This window comes from Homo sapiens, chromosome 9, assembly GCF_000001405.40.
Source record: "Homo sapiens chromosome 9, GRCh38.p14 Primary Assembly".
NCBI classification, from domain to species: Eukaryota; Metazoa; Chordata; class Mammalia; order Primates; family Hominidae; genus Homo; species Homo sapiens.
Window position 1 is genome coordinate 8,704,479 of NC_000009.12, and position 21,281 is coordinate 8,725,759.

The window sequence follows — 21,281 nt, forward strand, 5'->3', positions numbered from 1 at the left end:
TGAGTCCTAGCTCATTACGTAGAGTATCATGAACTTGAAAATGGACTTAATGTCTCCCTTACAGGGGATGCATTAAAGGTTAAGTGAGGTGATGTGTATGAAAGTTGTCTGTACACTATCAAAGCACTGTACAAACAGAATATGGAAGCTTAAGACAGGTAAAATACCCGAGGAGCCTATCACAGAGATAATGCAATTTAGATGGTAAAAAGAAATGAGGCGAGCGGATCACGAGGTCAGGAGTCGAAGACCAGTCTGGCCAAATCTCTACTAAAAATACAAAAAAAAAAAAATTAGCCGGGTGTGGTGGTGTGTGCACCTGTAATCCCAGCTACTTGGGACGCTGAGGCAGGAGAATCATGTGAACCCGGGAGGTGGAGGTTGCAGTGAGCCAAGATCATGCCATTGCACTCTAGCCCGGGCGATAGAGCAAGACTCCTTAAAAATATAAAAAATAAATAAATAAAAAGAAATAAAAGAAAGTTCAATGGCTCTCAATCTTTTTCTCCCTCTATTGTCCACAAGTCATAACTGTATAAATTCATCATATCCATGTAAAACAGGTTATAACACACTTCTATCTGAGCCTCTCCTTATATTACTGCAATTTTCAATAAGTTTAAAAAAAGGGCTCAGTGTTGACCACTCCCTGACCCAAGGATTTTCAAATTTGTGTAATTCTCACAAGAAAAATGTATTATTCCCTTAATGAGTATGATCACTTTCCTAAATTTTTGTTGTTGTTACTGTTGTTTTGTTTTTTGAGATGGTCTCACTTGTCACCCAGACTGGAGTGCAGTGGCACCATCTTGGCTCACTGCAACCTCCGCCTCTGGGATTCTGTGATTCTCCTGCCTCAGCCTCCCGAGTAGCTGGGATTACAGGCACCTGCTACCACGCCCAGCTAATTTCTGTACCTAAATTTGTTTTGAAACAAAAGTATTCTATAATTTTAACAAATGCAGAGGAGCACATACAAGAAACAAATTCCCAGAAGTTAAGGTATCAAGTAATACTAGTTTTGGATTTTGAATTATTTCCTGATTACTTGGGAACATCATTTTCCATTTCTAAACCAACATTTCCTTGTCTCTTAAAATTCATAAGAAGCAACAGCAAAGAAGACATAAAAGATATATCTGCTTCTTAAGTTAGACAGCAGTTAAACACATAACAAATTGAGAATAAAAAATAATTTATCATATTCACATAAAATAGTTTTAAAGGAAGCACATACATGTCTTGGTAGAAAATGTCTTTATAATTATGTATCACATGTTTATTACTTACTAGATTAAAACAGTAGTAATAATAATCTACTGCTGATATAGTAAAGGCAATTCCCTAGGTGTTTCTTTTGGTAATAGCACCTAGCATTTATATTTGTTAAGTGTATTTTTCCATGAGCAGAGTTCTCTGAAAGCTCTATCAATAGTAATAAAAATGGCCAACTGTGATTCGGAGCATTTAGTCAGCACTGTATCCATATGTGTAAATTCCAAGCCAGGCATTCATTTCAACTCAATTCTGCTGCTTCACTACTGCTATCTTGTCGACCAGAAAAGTACAGGACTCAAATTCTCCCAAAGAACTGCCAGACTCACTTAGTCCAAGCAAAGGAGAAAAGAAGCCAATTATGAATTTTATTACTTCCACAATTCTCCTCAAGAGAAACATTATAAGAAAGAACACTGAATTAAAAAAAAAGAAAACTGCCTCGTTTCCAAGGGATCTTGATCAAACCAAGCTTACTACGGAAGTTCTTCTGAAATTAGATATAATAGGATTTTCAGGGAGGTTTGATATTTATCCCAAGGTAAAACAACTTCTTACCGCTTTACCTTTCCTTTATTTAGTCTGACTCGAATATTATTGTAGTTATTGGATTAGAGATTCATTTTAAAAAGCAACTTTTCAGACTTGAAATAGCTTTATGGAAGCATCTCACATTTCAGCAGCTAAAGACAAGTGTTCATGGTTTTGCCAATTCAATTCACTAGAAGCCATCTAAGTCTGCATGGTCTCTCTTTTTTTTCCTTCCCCTACTGTGGCTTTGAAGTTTAAAAAGAACTTCATATATTTAGGAAACAGAGCGATTATCCCAAGGCTCTGAACTTGAGCTTAAGAAAAAAAAGCGCTCATCTCAGGAGCAGAGATGCGTGAGCATATGCCAGGCAGGAATGCATGTCAGAGTCCTTTGATGGAAATTCACAGTCTCAGAGATGTACCCAAGCAAAGCACAACAAACAATGAAAGCTAATTGCCAAGAGTCAGGGTTGTCTTCATAATGCATTGCATCTGCATAGCTTGGCGTCCAGTGTTAATTAACCACAGCCAGGTTGGGATTGCTTCCTGATTTCACTGCAGCATGCCTCTGAAGCAACAGCAATGTCCACAGGTTAGCATTATCCTCCCGTGCCACTGTCCCCGCTGGACAGCACAAAACACCACAAATGAAGAGGCGAATGAAGAACTGAAATGGCAGTTCTTATGGGATCAAACAGAAAAGCACTGAGTTTTACTATTTTATTACTTCCTTTAGCAGGGATCAGCTCCAATCAATTAATGATTTAATTACCTAGACTAATTAAGATAATGAACAACAGCAAGCCTACAATCAATTAGCTTTATCCAAACTTTCTATTTTGAGTATAGGACCTTAAGGACTATACTCTATGTCTTTGTTGCAGCAATAAAATATGTGGGTATATTACGGAACTGCCAGGGATGTGGTCACTCCCAACCTTAAGCAAACATACAAGGTCACTTGAATAATTCTTTGGTGACAGAAGGTTGTGAAAGGATGTTACCTGGATGGGCAATGGATATTTCTCCATCAGAAATGCAGATCTTAAATTGAATTATGTCTCTCAAAAGCAAGTAATGGACCAAAGACAGGAACATGCCCTTTTGGTCAGCCAGCTTCTGTGATTTGAGTTACTTCAGAGTAACCATGTAAAAATAAAAAGCCCCTTTCAAACATCCAGCAGAAAGTAGCAGTGTTTCTTGATTACATTGTTCTTGGGACAAAGTGTTCCTTAAATTACTTAGCATGGGCTAAGAAATTCATATATTTCCTAAGAAAGAAGTACAGACAAGAAGCAGGCAGTTAGGGAGGTGAGTAGTCTAAGTTCTAGTTTTTCCTTTCCATCTGTTACATCTACTTTGAAATTTAAGGCTTAATGATCTGATTCCCTAATTATATTGGGTGTTCCTCACAGAGAGAAAAGGTCTCCTACTATTGGGTTTAACCATGGCCACTACTAAAGTATAATCTATTATTGTCTACAATAAATATTTTTCAATAACCTTTTCCTCAAGCAAGAAACCATATAATGCATACCACAGTGTTCACATCTGTCATCTCCCAGGTACCACATCTCTCGGCTTACCTATACTGGTTGTGTATTGTCTCTCTCAGAATAAAAATGATCATAGTGCAAGTTTCCTTGTATGTGCCAGCAGTATTGCACTATGCTTTTAGGGGAACTTCAAACTTGCCCATGGATAAAAGGCATTAAGATTTTATACCTCACAGGCTAAGCTAGCTCTGCACCATGCAAGAAAACTGACTCACTTTCCAAATGCCTTCTAAGGCACCTCTGAAATAAAGGGGAAATCTCAATCCAACAAAAATGGATGCCGTGTATAAAATTTATATCTGTTCTTTGTTCAGCCAACCAGTTATTGAGAGTATACCATGTCTCAGCCAATGTGCAAATAGAACATAGAAAAAGTTATTTAATATCACCTCATGTCTGTTAGAGTGGTTGTTATCAAATAACAAAAGGTAGGTGTTGGTGAGGATGTGGAGAAAAGGGAACCCATACACGCTACTGGTGGAAATGTAAATTAGTACAGCCATTATAGAAAACAGTATGGAAGTTCCTTAAATATGAAAAATGAAGCTACAGGCCAGGTGCAGTGGCTCACATCTGTAATCCTAGCACTTTGGGAGGCCGAGGTGGGCGGATCACCTAGGGTCAGGAGTTCGAGACCAGCCTGACCAACATGGTGAAACCCCGTCTCTACCAAAAAAATACAAAAAAAATTAGCTGGGCATGGTGGTGGGCACCTGTAATCCCAGCTACTCAGGAGACTGAGGCAGAAGAATCACTTGAACTTGGGAGTCGGAAGTTGCAGTGAGCCCAGATCGCACCAGTGCACTCCAGCCTGGGTGACAAGAGCGAGACTCTGTCTCAAAAAAAAAAAAAAAAAAAAAAAAACAGAGCTACCATGTGATCCAGCAATCCCACTACTAGGTCTATATATTCAAAGGAAATGAAATAGGTATGTCAAAGAGATGTGTACATTCCCCTGTTTATTGCAGTAATACTCACATTAGCCAAGATGTGGAAGCAACCTAAGTGTCCATCAATGGATGAGTGAATAAAGAAAACGTCCTATTATGTACACAGTGAAATCCTACTCAGCCTTTAAAAAAAGAATGAAATGCTGTCATTTGCAACAATATGGATGAGTCTGGAGACCATTATGGCAAGTGAAGTAAGCCAGGCACAAAAAGACAAATACTCCATGATCTCACTCATATATGGGATCTGAAAAACTGATTTCATAGAAGTAGAAAGTGGAATAGTGGCTATCAGAGGCTGGGTAGGGGGTTGGGAGGGGTTGGGGAGATGTTGGTCAAAGGACGCAAAATTTTACTTAAGAGGAATAAGTTCAACAGATCTACTGTACAACATGGTGACTACAGAAAATGTGATACTGCATTCTTCAAAAATGCTAACAGAGGCCAGGCGCAGTGGCTCGCACCTGTAATGCCAGCACTTTGGGAGGCTGAGGTGGGCGGATCACGAGGTCAGGAGATCGAGACCATCCTGGCTAACACAGTGAAACCCTGTCTCTACTAAAAAATACAAAAAATTAGCTGTGCCTGGTGGCAGGCACCTGTAGTCCCAGCTACTCGGGAGGCTGAGGCAGGAGAATGGCATGAACCCAGGAGGCAGAGCTTGCAGTGAGCCAAGATCACATCACTGCACTCCAGCCTGGGAGACAGAGTGAGACTCCATCTCAAAAAAAAAAAAAAAAAGAAAAAGAAAAAGAAAAAGAAAAATGCTAACAGAATGGATGTAAAGTGTTCTCATAACAAAAATTATAATTACATGAGGTAACACATTGGCTACTTAGCCAAATTTAGTCATTCTACAACATATACATTAAAATATCCAGTTATATTCAGTAAATACATATAATGTTGTCTGTCAATATAAAAAAATTAAAATAAAAAAGAAATCATTTAGATCCTAATGGAAGAGTCAGTCTACATAACCAAATACAGGAATCAAAGAGGAAAAAAGTGACTAGAGTTATAAAATATGTTTGGTGTGCTAAGGGAAAGGTAAATAGGGCATCTTTAAGTGCAATAAAGATGGGCAAATGAAGATAATAGAGAGTGCCTCAGGAATTAAGCATGTGATCTCTGAAGTCAGACAACCTAGGTATGAATCACAGCTTATTATTTATTATGAACAAACAGCGAACAACTACGGACAAATTACTTAACCCCTCCAAACTACAATTTACCCTATCTTAAAGTCTAGGCTAATAAGGGTTCTTAAAACACATGATTGTTATTAAATAATCTGCGTGAAGCAAGGTGCACGCACATCCTAAGTGCCCAATAAATATTAGCTCTTTGTTACTAATATTAGAAGCTTTTTTCCTGGCAATAGTGGACCATATATGCTCCTGGTAATGAGCTACAACCCTTTGCAAGAAAGCAAATTTCTGAAAGACTTGGCTCTCTTAAAGGTCTCAGGGTCAAGTACATTCAGCTCATGTTCATTAGCTAATAACATTCAAAAGGTAAATCAAGAGGATATTAAAAAATAAGGCCATGCAGGGTGGCTTATGCCTGTAATCCTAGCACTCTGGGAAGCCAAGGCGGTGGGTCACTTGAGCCCATGAGTTTGAGACCAGCCTGGGCAACATGGCAAAACCCCGTCTCTACAAAAAATACAAAAATTAGCAAGGAATGGTGGCAGGCGCCTATACTCCTAGCTACTCAGGAGGCTGAGGTGGGAGGATCACCTGAGCCCAACAGGTCGAGGCTGAGGTTAGCAGTGATTGTGCCACTGCACTCCAGTCTGGGTGACAGAGTGAGACCTTGTCTCAAAAAATAAATAAATAAAAATAACAATAATAATAACAGTAATAGGATATCAAAAATGTGCCCTTTCATAATTATAAATGAGTTTTTATGTCAGAATTAACAATTAACGATTTTATATCAGAAATAATAATTAGTATAATCTAAATACTTTAGATAAGTCTTATTAAAAAGACTTTATTTCTGAGAACTTTACATATGAAGGGCCTTCAAACATTTAGTGTTCACAGAATTATTCTCAGGATCTCCATCAAACGAATAAAACTAGCCTTAAACTTTAGGCTGAAATAAAAATTCACCTTGGTAAGCACTTTGATTATCAAAATATATTGCTTTCAAGTAACATTTCTACTAAGTTTGGGAAATTAATTTAAACTCCATGTGTTCTTATGTAATTAATGCTAGATGTGAAAGTATCTTACTTTATTTTAATGTCAGATATCCAAAATGTCCAATTTATAGTAACATTTAATGTTATTTCATGCCATAACTCAACATAATTAATTAACTGGTTGTTAAATATCATTATAAAACACTGTAAGAATCACTACCAATATATATGTAAGATAATAATATATTTCATCAGCAATATAAAATAATTGTCTTGGTAATTAAGGAAGCTCATTTAGTTCTAGTAATAGTTTATTCAAACATATAATTATACTGTATAGCTAACAAGTACGCCTTTTAATCAAATATATAATTATTAAAATATTCTTGAGGGATATAATTGGCATATTATAAATATATTTCTATCATGACTACTTAAACCTCAATAAATGTACCTTTAAAAAGGCCTTGATTTAATTAGCATACAGTAACTCTCTCCTTGAAATGAAATTAAGTCCTTAAGAAAAACAACTAATATGAAGCATAATCTTATATTACTCAAATTACTAAACCTTGCCAAGCAAAAATAATAATAAAAACCCTTCGAGAGCTCATTTACCAAAAATACAAAGATCACGTCTCCAAGCAATAATTCTCAGCCTGATTGCCCAGCAGGACCATGTAGGGAGCTTTTATGAAATCTATTAGCCCAGACCCCATCTACAGAGATTCTGATTAGGTTGGTTGGGAGGTGGGCCCAGGTATCTGTTGGTTTTGCTTTTTAGAAAGTCCATAAACCACCACACCAGAGACTGATAAAACGTATTTCTCCCAGCCCATAAATGTTTATTGTAGCTTCATTCATAATCACCAAATATTTGAAACAACCCAAAGGAATAAATAAAACTGTGATACGGATATAATGCTACGCAAGCAATGATCTATTGATTTATGCAACAACATGGATGAATCTTAAATGCATTCTGCTCAGTGAAAGAAGCCAGACCCAAAAGGCTACATATTGCGGCAGTGTGAGGGAAATTCTGAAGTGAAGGAACTGCTACATGTAATTGTAGTAATGAATACATAACTATGCATCTGTCAAGACTCATACAACAGTACAACACAAAGAGTGGATTTTACTCTATATAAATTTTTTTAAATCGACCAAGAAGTAGGGGAGGGAGGGAGATGCAATGCAGAGTGTGACAAATGAAATAACTGTCTTACAAATGTATCACATAACTATATTGAAGGAGACAGGGATGGAGCTGTCCTTAGTAATTTTGGTAAACAGTCTTTTGGCTGGATATTGTAAGAGTAAAGACAGCCTGTATCAACAGTATTTTCTTGTTCTGAATGAAAAAGAAGTCATTATTTATTACAAATATTTAGCTTACTGTTTATCAATTGTGTGTCTTTAATAATGAACAACACTAAACAATCTTAAAATCTGAAAGGTTTTGTAAAAACTTTTTACTGGTGTTATTTTCGTCACTATGTGCCTTTTTTTTTTTTCTTTTTGGAAAGAAGCTGGGCAGGATGAGCATGTAAAGGCTTCTTCAAAGTGTGAAAGTGGACAGATACTGCCTCCAGGATCCAGAACAACAGTCATTTACAAAGCTAGAGACAGAATGCACTGAAAATACAGCAATTTTACAGGTAGTTCCAGCAGGGGATAATTTATCTAATCAAACAGCTGATCTCCTACATATTCTACTGTATTCAGTCTTTTCATGTTAATAAAATTTGAATATGCAAAGATCGTATCAATTCTTTTTTGGGGGGTGGGGGGCATGGACTTTCCCTCCTTGTTGCCCAGGCTGGAGTGCAGTGGCACGATCTTGGCTCACTGCAACCTCCGCCTCCTGGGTTCAAGTGATTCTCCTGTCTCAGCCTCCCGAGTAGCTGGGGCCACAGGCACCCGCCACCACGCCTGACTAATTTTTGTATTTTTAGTAGAGACGGGGTTTCACCATGTTGGCCAGGCTGGTCTCAAACTCCTGACCTCAGGTGATCCCCCTGCCTCGGCCTCCCAAAGTGCTGGGATTATAGGCGTGAGCCACCGCACCCAGCCTGATTCTTTAATATGTTACAAATCTCAAAATAAAAATCTCAGAAATCTAGGTATGTGTGTGTGCTTTTTATTTATAAAACAGAATCTGAGAGGATTAAAAAGACTTAAAAACAACAACAACGATAACAAAACACAACTTCTCCTGCATAACTGTCAGTGCCAGAATTTCAGGGTCAAACATTTGATCTGAAATTTGGTATCCAGTTCGCTCCTAAACTGAGTCTCCAATTGTCCACTTAAAATCTTTATCCACTGAGCTTTTGCGGGTGGCGGCGAGCGCGGAGAGGACGCCATGAAGGCCTCGGGCACACTAAGAGAGTACAAAGTAGTGGGTCGCCGCCTGCCCACTCCCAAATGCCACACACCGCCCCTCTACCGCATGCGAATCTTTGCACCTAATCGTGTCGTCGCCAAGTCCCGCTTCTGGTACTTCGTATCTCAGTTAAAGAAAATGAAGAAGTCTTCAGGGGAGACTGTCTACTGTGGTCAGGTGTTTGAGAAGTCCCCGCTGCGGGTGAAGAACTTCGGGATCTGGCTGCGCTGTGACTCCCGGAGCGGCACCCACAACATGTACCGGGAATACCGGGACCTGACCACCGCGGGCGCTGTCACCCAGTGCTACCGAGACATGGGCGCCCGGCACCGCGCCCGGGCCCACTCCATTCAGATCATGATGGTGGAAGAGATCGCGGCCAGCAAGTGACGCCGGCAGGCTGTCAAGCAGTTCCACGACTGCAAGATCAAGTTCCCGCTGCCCCACCGGGTCCTGCGCCTTCAGCACAAGCCACGATTCACCACCAAGAGGCCCAACACCTTCTTCTAGGTGCAGGGCCCTCGCCCGGGTGCGCCCCAAATAAACTCAGGAACGCCCCGGTGGAAAAAAAAAAAAATCTTTATCCACTGACGCATAACTTGGAGGACCATGGTGAGAATTAGTGAGGCCTGACCTTGGTACACAGTGACTCAATTTCAGGCTTTGAATCAGTTAGTCCTATCAGAATGCTACAAGTCAGAGTATCCTGGCAAGAAATTTACTATTGGCCATAATAATGAATAACGGCCCTAATTAAAGCCTAAGGTGGATCAGATGAGAAGCGGGTCACAAACCTAAAGAGATGATCTATATAATCTACTTGTTCTTGGACATCCATCACTTCAGGAGAAAATTTTTGTGTCTCAGTTATCAGTGCCATCAAGAGCAATGATTATTTTCCATATTGTAATCAGAGTAATCCTAACAAAGCACAAATATAATCATCTTTACCTTTCCCCTTTAACAGCTTATTGGGTTTTTTTTTGTTTTGTTTTGTTTTGTTTTATATCACGGCCTCCTTTATTCTGCCCTTTGCAGACACTAGTCATATTCCTTTGAGCCTTGGCACAAGCTTTTTTTTCTGCCTGTTGGCTCTTAAATCCCAACATCACTAGCAAACTCCTAAATACTCCTGTTGCTTCCAGGAAGCCTGACCTCCAGATAGCTTGGTGCGCAGTAGAATACCTCCCCATTATAGGATCTCTGTACAAGGTTTTTCTCCTAATCCTTTACATTTTCTCCATTCATTCCCCTTGCTATTCCTAGAACCTGCTAGTCAAGGTCCTGCCCTAGGGTCTTTGGACTGGCTGTTTTCCTGGCCTGGAATACTCCTCCCCATGGCTAACTTCCCTACCTCCTTCAAATCTTTGCTTAAATGTCACTTTCTCACTGACCTGACTACCCAATTTTAAATCACATCTGAACCCCTACCCACCCCCATCATGCACCCTCCTGATTTCCCTTACTCTGGTCTTTCTCCCACCATAATACTTAGGTCACCTTTGAACACATAATATACTTTCCTATTTATCAATTGTATTGTTTATTATATTGTATTTATTGTTCAATTTCATAATTTAGAGCCCCCTAGAATGCGACCTTAATGGTGCAAGATTTTTTTTTTTGTCTGTCTTGGTCACTGTTGTATCTCAAAAGCCTAGAATAAAAAGAATATCTCTGAAATGAATGAGTTGCTTAAGGACCTATATACAAGACATTCAAGAAGAAAGAGAGAAAGCTCACACTTCCAAGACCTGAACAATATCTGTGAGTTAAAATGTGAATGCACAAAAGATCTATGAAAAAAAAAAATAGCTGCTGTAAATTTAAGGTAGCAAATTAGAAGGTGTCATCAACTAAGCTCAGCAGAAAAAGCAAATCCTACAGCTACATCGACCAATTATGAGCCTCTAATCGCTGCCAGGACCTCAAACACATTATCCCAGTTAATTCTCACACAACACATAACAACTGCAGGATGAGGTTCTCACACCCATTTCACAGATGAGCAACCTAAGATTAGCCTGGAAGCTACAGGAGTGCACAGACCCTACCTGTTCCCATCTTGCCATCATACCACCAGCATCCAGCGATATGCTGGCGGGCAGTAGGTGTAGAATATATAGAAGCTGCATAAAATTAAAAAATATATATGCTCAGAGAGGTTAACAAACTTGACCAAGACCACTTATCCAGTAAATAGCAAAATACAGGATTTGAACTCAGATCATTTTATTTAAAAACCAATGCTCTTCCCACCACACCATATTTCTTCTAACTAAAGTTATAAAACACATACGGACCTACAAAAATGCAACAGTCAGGCCAACGATCTACCACAGTCATTCCTCAGGGCCTCTTAACAGAGAAAAATATAAATTGATATTCCTAATTAGTGTCACCTCAATAATCAAGCAGCAATCATGTTTCATTTGATCTCTTTAATATTGAGACAGGCAAAGTACATTCTAGAGACAATTACAACAAAATAGATAAGTTTAAAGTTTAGCACCAAATGTTTAGCCTTCAGACAATTCAAAAGTCATTTTCACAGAAATAGTACACAGACATTACAGTATGAGTAAATTCCTGCTTCTACTTAGCTGCTCACTTGGGCAATGCCCTTTGGAGCACTGGCCCTTGAAATGCTAATTCACTGGCTGAACTACTGTTCACCTGCTCTTTAGCCTTAACAGGTCTGTGGCTTCACATTGGGTAGCCACAGCAGTCCCTAAGAGAAAAAAGGAGCTCCAGCAACCAAGCTATTTAATTGCGAAAACCGCAATTACCTTTGCACCAACCTAATAACCTAATAACTTGACTCCAGAGGATGGATGAAACCAGGAGAAGAGAGGGGGAGCCTCTCTCCCCACCCTTGGGCTAGGAGACACCTAAGGTCTGTAAACCTGGCATTGTTAGAACCTACAAGGAGAACCAAAGGATTTAAATGAATAATTCATCATCCCAAATTCACATTCACTAGAAGTATCTATGTAATTGTGGTTAAAGTACTTCAAATGTGTCCTTCTGCTTCATATTTTAGTGTAAGATACTAGGTAATAGAATCCATTCTCTAATTCACTTTACACAAACAGAATCAGCCCAAATGTTTGCTGCCAATTCTTACATTTCCTATTGTTAAGCACAGAAATAGCTGGAAACTGCTGGTATTGAGAAATTTTATTCATTTCAGTTCTACAAATTTCTAGAGGCCCTACACAGAGATTGAAAGCCTATAGTCGCAGACGAGATCCATCCCAAAGATGTACTTCCTTTAGCCTCAATATTATTGTAAAACCTAGGGGATGGTTCACATATAAACCTAGACTTTAAGCTGCACTAGGAAAATCAAAGGATCCGGAGCATGCACTCCCAAATAGGAAGAAGAGAATGGGTGGTGGCTTCCCTCATGAGATACAACACAAACTTTCGAAACAGTTGAACTGGCCTACCTCAATAATGAATGTTACTCTCCTGGTCACTGGCTGTATGGAAGGCCCAGTATTGGAATGTAGGGGGTTGGGGGTGAGGCAGAATCTGAGATGAATAAATAAACTTGTATGAGAATTGAAAATTTTAGGCTGGGCACTCTGGGAGGCTAAGGGGAGCAAATAGCTTAAGCCCAAGAGTTCAAGACCAGCCTAGACAACGTGGCAAAACCCCTTGTCTACAAAATAATACAAAAAATTAACCAGGCATGGTGGCATGTGCCTGTAATCCCAGCTACTGGGGAGGCTGATGTCCTTGAGCCCAGAAGGCAGGGGTTGCACCTGTACCCCATCCTGGGTGACAGAGTGTGTCACTGTCTCAAAAAAGAATTAAAGAAAGAAAAGTTAGACAAATACATCTAAAAGTAACATATGAAAACTATGATACCTCTAGGAGAGACACAAAAACCGTATCAATGTGCATTAGGTGTGTTGGGGGGAGAAGCAGGGATGGAAGAGAAATACACAAAGTGTATCCTCCCCAACCTACGTCTCATCCTCTCTGGCTGTCCCTTCTATGACTCATCAAGCACTTATAAAGTCAACTCATCATGACATCCTGCAAATTCCACCTCTTGAATAAGTTTTGTATAGGGTCCTTTGGTATCCCATATTCAAAAATACAGTTCAGATCCTCAAGACCCTCATTCTATTTGACTTCACAGCAGTCTCCTAACTGGTCTTCCACCCTCCAACGCATCCTCCACATAGCTGCCAGTGACCTATTGAAAATTCAAGTCAGGCCACAACACTTCCCAGTTTAAAACTTTCACTGGGTTCCCTAGTAATTTGTAATACTCAGCCTCACTTGAGAATAAACTGAGGGGCATTTTTTAAATTAGCTATGCTTGATCCTCACCTTCACATGTTTTTATTAAATTAGTTGGTGTGGGGCCTACATGTCTACATTCTATTCCAAGTGATTCTGATGTTTTATCAAGTTGAGAATCACCGTTTTACCGGACAAGTTCCAAGATCATTAGCTTTGCCTTAATGCCCTCCACAATTTCTCTGTCTCCGGCACACCTATGAACATTCCCTGTAAATTCCAATAAGGAACCCGCTCCTGGTAGCATCCTGTGCATATATCTACCTCCTGCCCTGAATTCCCTTTATTATAATTATCTTTACCACTAGTCTGACAGCAGTGACTTGGGTCTATCTTCCTTGTAACTCAAATGCCTGCAACATAGTGAGCACTAAATAAGAGTGGATGAAGACAGCAGAAAAAGATGGACCTGGAAGAGGAGGTGAGACCTGAAAGGCAAAGCTGTGAAGTAAGAAAGGGAGAAGGGGAGAATGCTTGTAAAGCTGGAAAATCAGAAAGCACTTTTTGGGCTAGCAAAATGTTGGTGATCATAATTTGTCAAAGCTTTCTTCAGGCTAGAAAAAGCAATCTAGTGGCCTGAGTAAATACACCAAAGGGATTTAAGCCAATTATTCCCTGCCCAGTAGGGGTGTCAGATTCATTTGTTAAACTACAAGCTCTCTAGAGAAACTAGATCTCAGAACGCAAGTAACTGTTTTATTATAATTATCATAATACCCCTCGTTTCCCTCTCACTCCAAATCACAACAATTGAAATGAAAAAGAAGTATGTGTTGTTCAGTTGCTAAATAGTCTTTTTATAACCTTTTCTGATGTAGTTTGGATTATTTCAGAAATAGTAGTTCTCCACAGTGGTTTCTGCTGCTTACATCAAATGAGTCATGCTGTGGGGCTCTCACTCTTTCCCCTGAGAGTTTACACCATAGTTGAATAGACTTAACTATTAGTCATTTTCCTTCATATTAAGCCAAGAGTTTTGTTTAATCTAATTAGTCCGCCTTCTCTATACAATTCTAAACAACCTCAGTCCTTACAAGAATATAGGTATGCCCTTCCTACATCTGCAGAAACGTGTGCCTCCTATTTACTGCCAGGACAAGCTGACCATAGTTCGTTCTTAAATTTTCCCACGTGAGCCAGGGATTCCAATTCTGAACCTTCTCATTCCCACCTCCCACAAAAGCGTTTCAGTTTGCTGGCACGATGGAGCGTAGTGTTATTTCCGAGCGTTTGCTGCTGGATCAATGGTGTTTTCTCATTAGTTTTATTTTGCTTTTGATTTATAAGCACCAAAATGGTACAGAGTATATCTACACCAGAAGCATCTATAATGTGATCAAATTCACCATGACTTTTGTGCTTTTATTTGCCTTTATGAAACCAATCTCAGGCTTCGAGACCCATGATTACAAACTGTTTCTTCACAGACCCCTTACAACTTTCCAAGCAAATGTAATACTTTCCAGCACTTTTTTCCTCTTTTTTAAGATGTTCATAGCTCCAAATGTCAGGCACACCGTGCAATGAAAACTATCCCTCAGCTGATAAATTATTCATTTTTCAGGAGTTTGCAATTTGAAATGGCACTAACAGCTGAATACCTGAAGCACCCCCAAAAGACATGAAGAGCAATAACATGCAAAGCTTTTTCTGCATACATTTTAAAGGTTAAGCGCCATTAGACATCTATGTTTATCAAGAGATGTGCTCCTTGAACATATTTCTTCTAATTAATCTGCTCCCAATAAACATTACTAACAAAGCAAAGTGATAAAGGAGGCTAATCAAACTAATCTCTTCCCTTTAACTAACTTCATCAGGTTAAACAAGGTCCTTTGCTGATATTCTCCACTTTCTCCTGTCTGATGAGGAGTTGCAGGTGAGTAAGGTCAAAAGCAGGAGTGATCAAACTAGGACTCTTGAACAATCTGGCCCACTGCACGTATTTTTAAATAAAGTTTTATTGGAATACTGTTTTACCCATTTATTTTGTATTGGCTGTGGCTACTTTCTTGTTACAGTGGCAGAGTTGAATAGCTGTGATAGAGACCCACAAAGCCAACAATATTTACCATATAGCTCTTTACAGAAAACATTTGCTGACCTCTGGTCAAAAGGCATGCAAAATGTATAAGGCTTTTAAAATGTTAGCGCCAAGTAGGGCTTTAGCTAATGTATATCAATGTGTTCATTTACTCTAAAAAAAAGAAAAAGAAAAAAAAAAAACCTTGCATTTAAAAGTGTGTTATCTAGAATACCATCTGTGTTACAGTTCCAGAGGAAACTGCAGGTCTAAGATTGTTCCTCAAGCTGGTAGATGCTTCATTTTGATAACAGTAATCACCATGTGTTTCAGCTATTTATTGCTGTGTTAAAAACCCCTTCAAAAATGGCTTAAGGCAAAGATTTCTTTGCACATGATTCTTCCCTCCAGGCCTCAGCTAGAAGATTTTAAACTCCACCTCCCATGTGGTCACTCATATGGCTTATAGTCATGAAGAAGAGGCTGGACTCTGGCTGGAATGCCAAGATGGCTTGGCTCTTATATCTAGCTCCTCACCTGGGACAGCTGCAACAGGTGTGGGCTGGCTGAGTATTTCTCCCTCTCTGTGGGGTCCCTTCAGCAGGGCAGTTGAGCATCTTGCTATGATGACTCAATATGTCAGAGAGTGAAAGTAGAAGCTTCCAGGCTGCTGAAGGGCCAGGCCCAGAGCTGGTGTACTACCACTTCTGCACCCTCCTATTACTGATCAAAGCCAGTCAGGGGACTAACCCACATTCAAGGAGTGGGGAAACGGACTGCACCTTGATGAGAGGAACTGTAAAATATTTTGGCCATGATTTCCAATTTACCACACCATGATGATGAGTAAAAAGTGACAACATGATCACAATGACAAAATCTTGAAAGCAGACCTTACTGCTGACAATTTATAATCAAATTGACAAATAAGAACAAGAAAGCCTAATAAAAGAATGGAAATCATTTTATAGTGAAACACTAGTCACACAGAAATCAAAAATTTCCAAATTGATGTGTTTTTTTTTAATTGAAATTAGAAGCCATTCTAAAAGCCACTCAGTGCTTCTCAATTCTTACACAGTGTGTAAGCTGTGACTGTGACATAACTTTCCTCCATGACTCTAGGGCCTGAAGATGACTATCAATGAGGGGCATAGTAACTACAATGAACCTGGATAACTCTGGACCTGATGCCCACTGGCATCTCTTGGGCCCTCTGGCTGCTGTGCATTTTGAGCTCTCTTGCCTGCTCTTTTCAGCTGTTCTGCCTCTTCTCTGGACAGGGAATCATGAGTGTGTGTTTTAGGTCCTTCCCCATCACCTATTCACCTTTTTGCTCTAGGCAGGTCATCTACTCTGACCCTTGGATTTTTTTTTTTTTTTTTAATCTGAGAAGTGAGGAGGATAAAAATTATGTTGCCTACACTTAGAATATTCAGGAACAAATGAGATTAAGAAGATAAAGTGTTTAAACTGGCTGGGCGTAGTGGCTCACACCTGTTATCCCAACACTTTGGGAAGCCGAGGCAGGGGGATCATCTGAGGTCAGGAGTTCGAGACTAGCCTGCCCAACATGGCAAAAACCCCATCCCTACTAATAATGCAAAAATTAGTCAGGCATGGTGGCACATGCCTGTAATCCTAGCTACTCGAGAGGCTGAGGCACAAGAATCGCTTGAACCTAGGAGTCAGAGGTTGCAGTGAGCCGAGATCACACCACTGCACTCCAGTCTGGACGACTGAGTGAGACTCCATTTCAAAAAAAAAAAAAAAAGAAAGATAAAGTGTTTAAATCATTATTCAAGTATTCAAGTGAAAGGTATCACAATCACTGTGGTAATTAATTAAGATAAAATTAATTTTATTGATAAAAATAAAATATTAACAAAATTAATATACCATAAAATAGTTTATAATAATGGCTAATGTTTATTTAGCATTTACTATGTGCAAGGCATAGTACTAAACACCTTACATTGCTTAACCTGCTTTTGTCTTTACAGCAATCCTATAATTATCATCTAATACTCCAGACAACAAAAACTGAGACATAAAGTGATAAGGCAATCTGCTTCTGGTTTTACAGATATTACACAGAACTACGATTTCTCTTTCCCAATTCGCACAGCTGATTTCAAGAGCTTGTGAAAGGTCTATCATATTTCTAACAAAATTTCTCCCTTCCAAACCCCATATTAATTAGAAGGGCATTATCTATCTCTCCTAACCTCTGCTCCAACCTTCTGTTCCAAAGCTTTCACAAGCAACATCAGTGGTTCTCAATTGGGTGATTTTGCCCCCCTCAGGGGACAGTTCTCAATGTTGAGAGACCACTGGGTTGTCACAACTGGACTGTAAGCTGCTTCCTGAGTAGAATTCCTTGATAAGAAAAATCATCTCAATAGGTCAAAAATGTTAAATAGCTGATTTCTCCATACATTAAGTATTACTCTGTGTGTGTGTGTGTGTGTGTGTGTGTGTGTGTGTGTGTGTGTACAGAGAGAAAGAACAGAATGAAAACTGAACCTCACAGGACTTCACATTCAGGATCTCATTTAAACTTCACAGGAGCCTGTGAGAGCTGTGAGCATTGCCAAAGGGTCAGAATTCTCCTACCTATTCTCAATTATCCTCCCAGGAGAATTGAGAAAATTGCTCCTGGTAGGCAAGGGAGCCATTATTTAAGGCAAATCTGGTTACTAACACCATGTACTATTTTAGAGAAAACATTTAAGTTATGGTTTAATAATCATTTTATGTATTACCTTACATTCCCATTGGTCTTAAAATAAATCCAAATATGTTAAATCATATAAACAATAAAGGGTTTTTTTTTTTCTTAAATGGAAGAAGTTTACCAGGAAATATTTTATTAAAAAGCTTTAATCTATATAGGGACTTCAACAAATCACTTAGGAATCCTATTGCTGTAATTTTGACAAAATGGAAGCATATAGGGAAAAGCCCTATTGAAGTTCCTTTCTTCCCTGCAATTCTATGTTGACCATCACCCTCCAATAACAGCCTTACTTTACAAATGTACCGTCCTTCACTATCTGCAGCTATGGATATTGATGAAGGAAAGTGTAGACTTAATTGCATGTTTCCAATGTAAAACTATCATCTGCTTTAAAAGAAAAATAAAACTGACCAGAGATAACGAGCTAAAAGCAGACATTTGTGCTTTTATTTACCAAAGTCTTTGGTGTTGCAAGTCTATATCGGCTGGTGCAAAGAAAATTTCAGTTAAGCTGTTTAGACAGTGAGTTTATAACTTGATCAGGAGGTTGTATCAAACCTTCAATGCACTATTTGTGGAAAAATATATACACATTTTGTCCTAGTAGAGAACAGTAGTACCTAATTCAAGTTTAATAAATAGATGTCCCAATAATATATGTGTTTCCCTACATACTCTCCTATACCTAGCCCAGCAATCCGAACCCTTTATACGACCTCCAGGGCCCCATGATGTGTCTCCTGGACCTTATTTTGTCCTTTGAACACACTAGGCTCCCTCCTTGCACTAAGGTCTTTACACTCATTCCCCCATCTGCCTGGATGCTCTGAACTCCATTTTTTCATAGCTGGACCCTTCCCATTCTTCGGCTCAAGTGTTGTATCTCACTCAGTAACACCTTCCTTGACATATGACAAACCAAACCAAGACCTATCCTCTCCCTTCATATCCTCTCTTACTCTCATATTACATCATGCTGTTTTACGATCTTTGCAGCATTTATCACTCTCCAAAGTCACGCCGTTCAGTGACTTGTTGCCCATAGCCATGTCTTGCTGCACTGCTCCTTTCTCCACAACATCCCAACTAGAATATAAAGTCTGTGGTAACAGGAATCTGGATCTGGCTTATTGGAGGCACACTGTAGTCATGCGCTGAATGAAAAGTATTATTACTTTTAAATGAAATGTTACTGAAATTTGTTTTAAAAGATAAGTATAGATATTAGAGGAGTTTCTATCAACCTAAAATCACTGTAGATTAAAGGTTTAAATGACTTTTAGTGACAAACAATGGCATTTTATTTTTCTCTCACTCCTTTATAAGCATCTTAAAAAGGTTTAAGTATATGTTTCTCTATATATTTATCTTTACACACAAAAAAACTAAGAAAACATACTTGGTTTAGTAGATTTGTTATACTTTCCGTATTTTTAGCTTAAAAGGAATAGATTGTGTGCTATTTTTTAAACTGACGATTTAAGTACTTAGTGTATCTTAAAGCCACATTTAATAACTGTAGTTACTGTAAATAACTGCCACAGTACTATGTTGATTTTTGAAAACCTATTGCAAATTGTACAGTGAATTTAAAACTTTTATGAGAGAACAAAGCTAAATTGTAATGTCTTTTGTAGTAAGGCACTGAACTTCATTGTTTTAAACTGATTCTGGATTCCACATTTTTAACAGATATTAACAAAAAGATAAGTTTAGATAAAACTATCTGAACTTCATGATTAAAAAGTGAAATTACAAGACTGAGTAAAGATAAATTTGGGGGGAATTTTTTAAATGCCATGTTAAAAACAAAGGATTACTTATAAGGTACTGAATACACTTTAGGTCCCTTCTTAACATGGTTTTCTCCTTCACTCTAAATTTTAACAATCTGTTGGTGGTTCAGTTTTAGAATAATGCTTCTTCACAAAGGTCAATTTTAAAAAATGTTTAAGTGTCAAGCAGTCTAGCCTCCTTAAACCTCTATCACCCTGGTCCCTTGTACCACATCTACTCCGTAACTTCCAACTAGCCTCTTAACAGATCTCAAGGCCACTCTGGCTGGCCTCCCTCCAAAGAATTTTTCCACCATGCTGCCTCATTGCTCTTTTAAAGTTGTAAATGTCTTCCTATAGCAGCTTAAAAATAAGTCAGTGATTCCTGCAGTTCATAGAATAAAAACCAAGATTTTGAACAAGGTTTATGGAGCCTTGTCTTACCCAGTCTCCACCACTTAGCCAGGCTCATTTATTTTTATCATGTCTGTAATCTCAGCACGTCGGGAGGCCAAGGTGGGTGGAGAGCTTGAGCCCAGGATTCTGAGACCAGCCTGGGCAACATGAGGAAACCCCATCTCTAAAAAAAAAAAATACAAAAATTAGCCGGACGTGACGGCACGTGCCAGTAATCCCAGCTACTAGTGATGCTGAAGTGGGAGGATCACCCGAGCCCAGGAGGCAGAAGGTGCAGTGAGCCGAGATCGCGTCACTGCACTCCAGCCTGGATAACAGAGTGAGACCCTGTGTCCAAAATAAATAATAATAATAGCTAAAAATAAGTGCATGTAAAAACTGGTAAAATCTAAATAACACATGTAGTTTAGTTAACAGTACTGTGCAAATGTTAACTTCCTGGTTTTGATAATGTACTGTCATTATGTAATATATTAATATTAGGAAAACTGAATGAAAGCTACATGGAAAATTCCTGTATGATTGTTGTAATGTCTTTTAAGTGTAAAATTATTTCAAAATAGAAAAAATAAATCACTCCCTCAGGAAAGCTGTGGATTACTTTTCAGAACAGATGAGCCACTTGGCTGCTTATTTTCTTCCCTTTAATGCTTGTTACTGTTAGAAAATGTAAATTTTAAAAATTAATGTTAAATATTTGGCTATGCCACTAGAGTTTAAGCTTTTTAGGGGCAGGGATCATATTGCTTTTAATCCACATTTTATCCTCAGTAGTTAACTCAATGCTTGGCACGGGAAATGTGTCCAATAAACATTTATTAATGGGACTGTGAAAGACATGAATGAGCCAATCAGTCAATGTCCCTTGAAATCATAAATGTATATAAATATACATATTTACATTTTAAAAAGATTCTGCTCAAATTGTGAAGTTAATGGGATAATATATGCCAACAGAGATCTAAACAAAGATGCTTCTAATTTGGAAATGACACAAACTAATGAGAAAAAAAGGCATAATAGCAACTAACAACATTTAGTGAATATTTAATCCTATTATTCAAAATGCTTTACAAACAGTTATTTCCTTAGTCCTTGTGATAACTGTATCAAGTGTGTGCTATATTTATCTTCATTTTACAGATGAGAGACACAT

At 38.7% G+C, this 21,281-nt stretch overlaps 1 protein-coding gene and 1 pseudogene across 55 annotated transcripts in view; one reads left to right on the forward strand and one right to left on the reverse strand.

Annotated features, from left to right (window-relative positions):
• PTPRD (protein tyrosine phosphatase receptor type D) overlaps positions 1-21,281 on the reverse strand; it is a 2,298,757-nt gene that overhangs the window by 390,233 nt on the left and 1,887,243 nt on the right. The gene's annotated exons all lie outside the window — the stretch shown is intronic.
• RPL18AP11 (ribosomal protein L18a pseudogene 11) lies at positions 8,798-9,416 on the forward strand (annotated as a pseudogene).